Here is a 10,891-nt window from a genome sequence, read left to right on the forward strand (position 1 = left end):
TAGTAGAGATGGGCCAGACTGGCCAGGCTGGTCTCAAATTCCTGACCTGAGGTGATTCACCTGCCTCGGCCTCCCAAGGTGCTGGGATTATAGGTGTGAGCCACCGTACCCAGCCATACTTATCAGATCTTAGGCCACTAACATCACCTCTTGGTATCTCAGAGCCTTCATCTATAAAAAAAGGATGATAGTAACTAACTCAAAAGGCTGAGGCATTAAATGAATCAACAACGAAACACAGTTGGAACTGAATTTTAAATGAATCAACAATGAAACACATTTGGAACTGAATTTGGTATCTAGTAAGCGCTCAGTAAGTGTCAGCTGCTTTTAGTTTTTATTACCTGCTGTTAACTAAATGTAGCCTGTGCTCTCACCTCCCAGCCCTTCATTTGTTTCCAACCACTGGATTGGATCTTTACTCTTCCCCATCCATTCCTTCTGAAATACTAGCAATTTTCAGAAGACTTCCCTCATCTCCTCAGAAATGGGCTCTTCTCCTACTGCTCCCACAAACCTTGTAGTGGGAGCATTTCCATCAGAGAACTTAGCCCCCTGGAATGGTTTTGGTTTTCTTGAACATCAAAATGGAGTCCAATTCATTTTATTTATTTTATTCTATTTTATTTTATTTTATTATTTTATTTTACTTTATTTTATTTTTTTTTGAGACAGGATCTCGTTCTGTAACCCAAGCTGGAGTACAGTGGTGCTATCTCAGCTCACTGCAACCTCTGCCTTCTGGGCTCAAGTGATCCTCCTGCCTTAGCCTCCCAAGTAGCCGGGACCACAGATGCGTGCCACCATGCCCAGCTAACAATTCATTTTAGTATTCTCAATTTTGTCCCATTTGCAACACTGGAAAGAACACAATACACATAAATGAATCAATGATCACAGCAACAACTCATCCAAGAATGAAAAGTCAATACAAAGTGTACTAGTCCTACAGACCAAATTGTCTTTATTATTAATGCTTTAATGTGCCCCCAAATTTCCTTCTTTTGGTTCTAGGCTAATATTGGTCTGTGTTCAGTTTTACCCCAGAACATCTCACAGGTCTGAACTCAAGGGAGCATATTCTAACTTTTAGTAGGTTCATATAGGTTAATTACATCATTCGTAACGCATAAATTTAACCAATGACGAAGAAGAAAGCTCTCCTTTAACCAAGAAAAGGGCAGAGACGAAGAAAAGGGTGACCTCTCAATTACCACCTTTTAAAACTGTTTTTTTATGGCAGTTTTGGGAAATGTTTAAAAGAAATATTCAAACAACGCAAACAGTACAGGCAGATCTAACAAGGGAACCCACAAGGATTATTCCTACAAACGTAGGCAGCAAGAGAATGGACACTTTTTGAGATAATCTCAGAATACTAAGAGTTTTAGATTAATGTTCATTCACGAAAGAAAACAAACACTTCTTGAACCATTAACTAGTAATCTTCATAGCAAAATTCAAAATAAAAAGCAGCCAAAGACTAGATTCTCCATCTCCCCATTAAAACTATTTAAAGGAAGGTCATGAATAATTAGCTGTATTTAAATAAGTATAAAGACCAAAGAAAGAAACAGATCAGAAAACTAATTGCTAGTTGTGGCTACATCTATCCAGAAAATACCAAATCTGCTTAAATATTCAAACAATTTGTCACAGTGAGTGTAGTGAGTGTTGGAATTCTCACAGTTGCTGAGTCCCCAGAGTCTCAGCCCAATTTCCTAACAGTCCATTGAGGTGAAGTCCTCTCCTATCCAGGCTCCTCAACTTTTAAGAGGGAATGCCAACCCTACCCCTATGGCTCTGTGTTCAGCTGGCAACATGGAATAGCTATGCTCCAGGGAAAAAGCAAGGAGCACAGCCTTTAACTCAGGCTGCCAACAGAATCAACCGATAAAGGTGATGCCCAAAGGCAGTTCAATAAGGGACATTCTTGGAATAAGTTAGACCAGCAGCTTCATTGAGGGACCTTTTAAGGCCACATTTACTGCACTGCCATTGAGTTATAATGAAGGACATGATAAGAAATGGCCTTATGTAACCCACAGACATATATCTGTGGTCACAAGGTAGATTCAAATGCCGTTCACTCACAGCATATAAAAGAAACTGCTCGGCTGGGCGTGGTGGCTCATGCCTGTAATCCCTGCATTTTGGGAGGTTAAGGCAGGCAGATCACGAGGTCAAGAGATCCAAGACCAGCCTGGCCAACATGATGTTGGCCTACTAAAAATACAAAAATTAGCTGGGTGTGGTGGCACGTGCCTGTAGTCCCAGATACTTGGGAGGCTGAGGCAGGAGAATCACTTGAACCCAGAAGGCAGAGGTTACAGTGAGGCAAGATCATGCCACTGCACTCCAGCCTGGCAACAGAGCAAGACTCCATCTCAAAAAAAAAAAAAAAAAAAAAACTGCTCTCAGAGAGCAGTATAAGGAGACTTCTCTCCCAAGTAAATGACCTCACTGATCATTTCCTCTTTGCTTTGGCTGGGAGAAAATGCAATCACCTCTAGTAAGCACATAATGTTCCACTAACCTTAGTCCTGGCTTTGTCTTACTTTCCCTTTGTCCTGTTTTTCCCATCTACTTGGAATTGATTTTTATATATCTTATTGGATTGCAAAATAAGTATATATGATGTGAGCCATCAGATATCACAGAAAGAGGTGAGTGCAAATGAAGACATAAACAAAAACACAAGCTCCCAAGTAGTAAAAATGAACATTTCATTTTCCCTGACTCAATACTTAGCTAAAAATCAACTGCCCTTGATATGTGACACTTCTACTATTATGTAGAAGTACAACCAAAGAGTTGAACTAACTTCCATATCACTTATTTTATGTTTTGTCGTTGTTGTTATTTGTTTTTGAGACAGGGTCTTGCTCTGTTGCCCAGACTGGAGTGCAATGGCACAATCTCGGCTCACTGCAATCTCCGCCTCCTGAGTTTAAGCGATTCTTCTGCCTCAGCATCCTGAGTAGCTGGGATTACAGGTGCCCACCAGCACGCCTAGCTAACTTTTTTGTATTTTTAGTAGAGACAGGGTTTTGCCACGTTGGCCAGGCTGGTCTCGAACTCCTGGCCTCAACTGACCCGCCCGCCCCAGCCTCCCAAAGTGCTGGGATTACAGGCATGAGCCACAGCACCAGGTCACTTATTTTACTTAATATTACTCAAGTCTTATACTCCATTTCTATGCACACGTCTCAATTTATGTTCCTCAATTACCTTATCTCCTAATAAAGTAAAAGTATTTACATTACCTGCAGATATAAAACTAACAGTAAAGAATGGGTACCTAGTCCCACCTACTCTAGGGAATTAGTTCATACCAAGCCTTGTACCTTGGTTGCATGCAAATTTAATGCAAAAAAAAGGTCAAGGGCTATTGGGCTTGAAAGGGTTAAGGCAGCTTCCAAAATTGAATCCTAGTGATGCTCAGAGAAACTGCTGAAAAGTTATAGATAGATATACACACGCACACCTGTGTGTTCATATGCAAACATACATGAGCCCACACACCCAGAGTACTTTCCTAAGGATGAAACTCAGAGTAATTACAGAAAAGAGAAATGCCACTTAGACCACAGAAACTAACAACATGAAGAAGCCTACGGATTTGGGGAGCCTGGAGAGACTTAAGTCATAGAACAGCATTTAAATATATTTGTCTGCTTACAATTTCCATTGCAAATGTGATTAGTTTGCTTGAATAAATAGGAATATGATGTGTTGGCCATGTTTTCCTCTTGAGGGTTATCACAGAGTTTTGATTAAGGACAAATGTTTGAAATGTTAGGTATATTTAAGTTCACTGCACTTAAAATGAGCTAAGAAGTTGTATAGGCTTGATTAGAGGGCTGCCTTCGTGAACTTAAATTAAAAGCAATAAATTCCAAATGATTCAAGTGATTGGGACTAAATATGGTATTCTGCCAGAGAAGTTGAAATGCAGTCCAAAGAGACTGAAATGGTGTCCAGGTTTCAAGAAATGGTGAAAGAGGAAAGGTCAAGTGTTGGAGTTGCCTTTCCTCTGGGTTAGTGAATGATTCACATTACACAGAACCCCTTTCAAGTACAACTTCACAGGAGTGACAGGCTCCCAGGACAATCTGTTTCATCGTTCCCAAAAAGAAGCCTCTCAAATGCTCCGAGGCGGGTATCTAAGTGTTGTCAGATGGAGAGAGGGAGGGGGAAGATGGGAATGATGGGAAAGCGGGGAGGGGGAGAGTCCCTGGACTTTTTATTCACAAAGGCGCAGACCAAGTCTCCTAGGCAGTTTCCAAAACGGAAGTCAAAGTAACTTCCCCACCCGCGGGAGGGCGGAGCCCTTGAAACGTAATAGGATCAGGCTTCAGCCCGGGCTCTGGCCCCTGGAAGAAGCCGGAGTCAACAACCAGCGGGGTCAGGAGCAGGAGCGCGCTGGGAAGGTAGAGAGGACCCCCAGCGCTTGCCGGCCCAGGGTGCACCAGGCCCCAGTCGCGCCCGCTCCTCCTCGTCGGCCCTGGCTCAGCCCCGTCAGGCACCAACTTCCCTCCCCGGCCAAGTGGGAGTGTCCGGCCCACAAAGTTTCCGCTGCGAGGTCGGGCCTCGGTCTCTGCACCGACCGCCTGTGCTGCCCGGGAGGAGTGGCCCCCTCCCTCCAGCAGCCGCAAGGTGGAACGGCTGCCCGGCACCCCATTTTGCTCCGCCTGTGGCACCAACCCAGACACGTGAGCGCCCGAGCCTCTCGCACCCCCAGGCTGATCCGGCAGGCGCGCTCCCCCCGGCCTCGGGCCCGCGGTTACCTTGGCGGCCGCCATGATTCGCCCCGGTTGCGGGCGACTGCGGGACCCACTGACTGGCTGGCTGGCGTTTGGGACCCGGGCGGCTCACTTCTAGTCCCGGCGGCGGCGGCGGTGGGGGCGGCGATACGGCCAGGCAGCGTGCGTTCCTGGCCTGCCTCCCCACGCCCTCCCGCCGGCGCGGGTCATGTGGATGCTGCCCGCCCATTGGCTGGGCCCAGCCTTGGCCGCCGGGGTGCGCGTGATCCAGCGGCCTCTGCCCTGCAGCCGGGGAGGGCTCAGATCCTGGGGCAGTGGCTGGACAGGGACACGTGACCCCGCTGCGCTGTCCAGCAGCGGCGGCCTCTGCGGCGTGGGCAGAGGTAACTTGGCCGTGTGCAAGCCCGTCACCTGAGGGCAGGTGGCCCCACCAGGGAAGCTGCTGGCTTCTGCTGATACCAGGGGCTACTGGGCCCTCGGACCGATGGGAGGGGCAAGTAACGACAGATGGTGCACGGCCTGGGGAAGTTGAGAACTCCACTAGGACACATACTTTGCTGGATATTTTTTCCCCTGTGCGTTCCCTTTGAAGGAGCTCCACTTTACACTGGATCCAAAAAGACTTTGATCCAAAAGCATTGACTTAGAAGGCGAGATTGCAAATATTGCTGGCACGCCTACTTTTAGATCAAAATCGGTGAACTCTTAAGAACCCAACAAGTGAATGTAGTGCAGAACGTATATTCATGAAACTACTCCATTTCAGCCCTACCTGTTAAAACGGTAGAAGTCAAAAGGCCCGGGTCAAAAGACTTCCCCCAAATAGGCCCTACTAAAATAAATAAACAAGCATTTTAATGAAAATTTGCTTATATGACCTCCAGGCCTTACTCCTCTTCATCAGGATTTCATTCTTCTGTCCTTGTAATCAAAATTTATAAGACAGTGGTGATCAGGGAAAAGGACTTTTAATGTATTGTAGGTTGTGGATGTAATATGGCAGCAAAAAGCACTTATTACTAATCAGTTTAATTCATTAACGTTGATTGAGTGCCTTCCTACTATGTGCTAGGCACTGTGCTTGGTGCTGGAAACCCCGAAATGACTTAAGAACTGGTTCCAACCGTTAAACAGCTTCAGGGCTATTGGGAAAGAGACACATAAATGTTTACTTCAGTATAACCTGTTAAGGCAGCAGACTGTTCCCAGGGCTCAATAAGAATACTGAGAATTCTCATGCCACTATGAAGAAATACCTGAGACTGGGTAATTTATAAACCAAAAGATTTAATTGACTCAGTTTCGCATGGTTTGGGAGACCTCAGGAAACTTACAGTTGTGGTGGAAGGCACCTCTTTACAGGGTTGCAGGAGAGAGAATGAGTGCCAAGCAAAGGGGGGAAAGCCCCTTGTAAAACCATCAGATCTCATAAGAACTCACTATCACAAGAACAGCATGGGAGTAACCGCCCCCATGATTCCGTTGTCTCTCACCGGGTCCTTCCCATGACATGTGGGGATTATGGGAACTACAATTTAAGATGAGATTTGGGTAGTGACACGGTCAAACCATATCAAAAGGTAACTTGATCTTGAGCTATGGGATTGGGGCAGTGGCACGACTAGTGGAAGGAGTCTGGCCCAGCAGGTAGGGGCTGTGTCATGGTGGGTCTTAGGCGCCTTGCTGAAGGGTATGCACCTTAACTGAAGGGTTTTAAGTCAGGAAGCAGCATGACTAGGTTTTCGATATAGAAAGATCTCTCTATGGTCTGAATGTGCCCCCCAAAATTGATGTGTTGGATACAATCTCTAATGCATCAGTGTTGGAAGGTTGGGTCCTTGGGGAGGTATTTTCATCACAAGGGCTCTGCCCTCATAAATGGATTAATGCTGCCATAAAAAGAGGTTTGGGGAGTGGGTTCACTCTCTCTTGCTCTTCTGCTCTTTTGCCATATAAGAACATAGCATTCCTCACCTTTGAAGGACACAGCATTCAAAGAGCCATCTTGGAAGCAGAGAAACCAGGCCGTAACCTGCCAGCACTTTGATCTTGGACTTCCTAGCGTCTAGAACTGTGAGAAATACATTTCCGTCCTGTTCTTCTAGTCTCAGGAATTCCCTTACAGCAACACAAAATGGACTAAAACACTGCTTGCAGTATGGAGGATGGGTTCCAACTGAACTACCAGGATGTCCAGACGAGACAGGCTGGGGATGGGCTAGGACTAGAGGAATACATAGAAGGTAAAATTAGTGGGGTTGGGACGGAAAAAGGGAGTTGTGCCATATTGCACATAGACTTGTGGTATGGGTGTCTGGAAAAACACCTGAGATTGGTAATTCAAGAGGAGTGTTTTGAGGTGTGTGAGTCTGTCTGTAAGGAGAATGTATGTCCAACATACAAATTATGTTGTAGAAGCTTAAGAAAGAAGCATTACAGAAAGAAGCAACTATTTAACCTACTCTCAAAAGGTTCAACAAAGCCCAGAAGACTTGACCATGTTCATAGGCAGAGAAGAAAGATCAGCAAAAAGTAAAAAAAAAAAAAAGACAAAAGGAAAACCAGGAGAATTGTTAGAGAAAATTATGACAAGGGGACAAGTCTGAAGCTCCTGTGGAGGATGGCCCCAGCTGCCACAAGGGGAGTGTAAAAGGAGGTGAGAAAATACAACCTCATGTAAAGAACAAAATTACATCATGTACCACGTATTTATTTTTAAGGGCATCATTAAAGCTCTCCTTTTATAATGTAAATGAAACAAAAAATTTTTAATGTAATAAAATATACATAAAATGTACCATCTTGACCATTTTGAAATGTACAGTTTAGTAGTGAAATACTTTCACATTGTTGTGCAGCCAATCTCCAGAACTCTTTTCATCTTGCAAAGCTGAAACTCTGTACTCATTAAACAACCACTCCATCTCCCAACCCCCTGACAACCACCATTCTACTTTGCTCCTATAAATCTGACTACTCTAGGTACCTAATAAATGGAATCATATGGTATTTGTGTTTTGTAGCATAATGTCTTCAACCTTCATACATGTTATATAGCATGTGTCAGAATTTCCTTCCTCTTCAAGGTTGAACAATATTCCATTAATTTTTTTAATAGAAAAAGTCCATTATACTTCTTCTTGACATTTTTGAAAATTCAGAAAATCATAGTAATGGCCAAAAAATCACTGATAATCCTATCAATAGAGTTAGCCATTGTTAACATTCTACTGTATTTTTTCATGTCTTGCTGTGCTTATGTGTGTGTATCAAGACATATTTATTTTACTTTATTTTTTGTTTTTGTATTTCTTGAGACAGGGTCTCACCCTGTTGCCCAGGCTGGAGTGCAGTGGTGTGATCTCAGCTCATTGCAACCTCCTCCTCTTGGGCTCAAAGGATCCTCTCACCTCAGCCTCCCAAGTAGTTGGAACCACAGGCATGCACTGCCATACCCATCTAAATTTATATTTTTTGGTAGAGATGGGGTTTTGCCATGTTGCCCAGGCTGGTCTCAGACTCCTGGGCTCAAGCAATCCTCCTGCCTCAGCTTCCTAAAGTGCTGGGGCTACAGGCATGAGTCATTGCGCCTGGCCTATTTTGTTTATGTATTTATTTTTAAGACTGTTGCCCAGGTTGGAGTGCAGTAGCGTGATCTCAGCTCACTGCAGCCTTGATCTCTGGGGCTCAATTGATCCTCCCATTTCAGCCTCCCAAGTCGCTGGGACCACAGGCACACACCACCATGCCCAGCTAATTTTTGTATATTTTGGTAGAGATGGGGTTTTACCAGGTTGCCCAGCCTGGTCTTGAACTACTGGACTCAAGTGATCCACTCACCTTGGCCTCCCAAAGTGCCGAAATTATAGGCATGAACCACCCACCTGACCATATTTTTGCATTTAAAACGATGAATTATACTCTGTGTTAGTTTCCTGTGGCTGCCATAACAAATTACCACAAACTTGGTAGCTTAAAACAATAGAAATTTGTTCTCTTACCATTATGAAGGCCAGATGTCCGAAGTGAGTCTTGTGGGGCTAAAATCAAAGTGTCAGCAGGACTGTTCTCTCTCAGAGGCTTTACAGGAGAATGATGTTTCTTTGTCTTGTCTAAGGGCTCATGGCACCCTTCTTCACCTTCAGAGCCAATGGGCATAGCACCATATATCTGACTCTGCTTTTATCACATGACCTGTCTGTCTGTAACCTTCCTCTACCTCCTTTTTATAAGGACATGTGTGATTGCATTTAGAGCCCACCTAGATAATCCAAAGTACTCTCTCCATCTCCAGATACTTAATTTGATCACATCTGCCAAGTCTGTACTGCATAAAGTACCATTCAAAATCTCTAGGGATTAGGATCAGGACATGGACATATTTAGGGGGCCTATCATTCAGTTTACCAAACCTACCACACTATGGATACATATTGTAAAAGTATATTTCAATTTACATTTGGAGTCATACTTACTTGATTAAGCTCCCCTCCTCATTCTAGAATTCCTCAAAATATGAAATTTTAAAAATATTAAACTGTCATGAACCTAGAAATAAAGAAGTCAAAGATGCTCCCTGGGCTCCATTTCATCTGTAAATAACAGCATGATGTGAAACATCATCTAAGAAGATAAAGTGTGAACTGGCTAGGTATCTTTCATTTTTTCTTATCATTACAGGCTTACATGCCCTCCTGATATTTGTCCCTCTTCACTATTCCCAGATTACCCTCTTTCCTACCATTAACAGTAGCTGGCACTGAATTTTGACTGAAAAGGCCCTGTTATGGATTAAATTGTGTCATCCAAAAGTCTTAACTCCCCAGTACCTACGTATTAGTTTGTTCTCATGCTACTAATAAAGACATACCCAAGACTGGGTAATTTATAAAGGAAAGAGGTTTCATTGACTCACAGTTCAGCATGGCTGGAGAGGCCTTAGGAAACTTACAATCATGACAGAAGGGGAAGCAAACATGTCCTTCACGTGGCAGCAGAAAGGAGAAGTGCTGAGCAAAGGGGAAAAGCCCCTTATGAAACCATAAGATCTCATGAGAACTTACTCATTATCACTCATTATCATGAGAACAGCAGCCTGGGGGTAACCTCCCTCATGATTCGGTTACCTCCCACCAGGTCCCTACCACAACATGTGGGGATTATGGGAACTACAATTCACAATGAGATTTGGGTGGGGACATAGCCAAACAATACCAGCCTCCAATTGTGACCTTATTTGGAAATTAAAGTTGTAATTAGTTGATTTCATACAGAGTAGGGTGGGTCCTTAATCCAATATAAACTGGTGTTTTTGTAAGAAGACACAGAGATACTCTGGGAGAGTCCCATGTGTTAACAAAGGCAGAGATTAGAGGGATGCAGCTGCAAGCCAAGGAATGCCAGGAATCAACAACCCCCCCAGAAGTTAGCAGGAGGCAAGAAGGGATGCTACCCAGAGTCTCAGAGGGATCATGGCCCTGCTGACAACTCAGTTTGTGACTTCTATCCTCCAAAACTGTTAGAGAATAAATTTCTGTTGTGTGAGGGCACCCAGTTTGTGGTACTCTGTTAAAACTGCCCTGGGAAACCAGTACAGGCCCCAAAGCCACCTGTGTTTTATAGCACCATATGCCAACCTTGTCAGCTGGGAAAGCAGCCAACTCAAATCACGGGGAATGCTATATGCAAACAAGGCACACAGCTTAAGCATGAGCCCAAGCCATGGGAGTTCAGAAGAATGACTAACATGGCCTGCTCTGAGCTTTCACCTTTTCCAGAATACCTGCGCCTTGTAGATGCCCTTTGACCCTACTTTTAAGCTATCTTATTCTCTTCAACTTCATTTAAAACAAACAAGAAAACAAAGGCACCATTACTACTACCAGCGTGCTCCCCAGATTAGATTGCTGGAAAGGATATCCAGCAACAATGCTTGCCAAGCACATCGTTGACTGGAAATTTTAGACAACTAACTACGGATTGCAATAATGATTCCTTGTGTAGATTGCAGTTTGCAAAGGTAATGCCAGGGCTGGTAAAGGACATAGTGTGACAGAGCTAAAGAAGCACCATGTGAATAAGAAGCTCCCAAATTCTGACCTTACAATTGAGACTCTGCAACTGAA

The 10,891-nt window shown here is 44.1% G+C and overlaps 1 protein-coding gene across 5 annotated transcripts in view, besides 2 other annotated features; it reads right to left on the bottom strand.

Annotated features, from left to right (window-relative positions):
* SLC25A13 (solute carrier family 25 member 13) overlaps positions 1–4,947 on the bottom strand; it is a 201,879-nt gene extending 196,932 nt beyond the window's left edge. For all 5 annotated transcript variants that reach the window (NR_027662.2, NM_014251.3, NM_001160210.2 and 2 more), the window contains exon 1: positions 4,791–4,947. Coding sequence is in view for 3 of the 5 variants with exons in the window: in NM_014251.3 (NP_055066.1) it covers positions 4,791–4,805 (15 nt within the window). In the remaining 2 variants the exon portion in view is untranslated. The remainder of the gene's footprint in view (positions 1–4,790) is intronic.
* Positions 4,743–5,082: a silencer, noted in NCBI's record as "silent region_18384". NCBI's record gives its function as "represses an Ori minimal core promoter by ATAC-STARR-seq in GM12878 lymphoblastoid cells {active_cell/tissue: GM12878}" and the evidence as "EXISTENCE:reporter gene assay evidence [ECO:0000049][PMID:35858748]".
* Positions 10,366–10,660: a silencer, noted in NCBI's record as "tiled region #3069; HepG2 Repressive DNase matched - State 8:EnhW, and K562 Repressive non-DNase unmatched - State 22:ReprW". NCBI's record gives its function as "represses a minimal TATA promoter and a strong SV40 promoter by Sharpr-MPRA in HepG2 and K562 cells {active_cell/tissue: HepG2 | K562}" and the evidence as "EXISTENCE:reporter gene assay evidence [ECO:0000049][PMID:27701403]".

This window comes from Homo sapiens, chromosome 7, assembly GCF_000001405.40.
Source record: "Homo sapiens chromosome 7, GRCh38.p14 Primary Assembly".
In the NCBI taxonomy this organism is placed as follows: domain Eukaryota; kingdom Metazoa; phylum Chordata; class Mammalia; order Primates; family Hominidae; genus Homo; species Homo sapiens.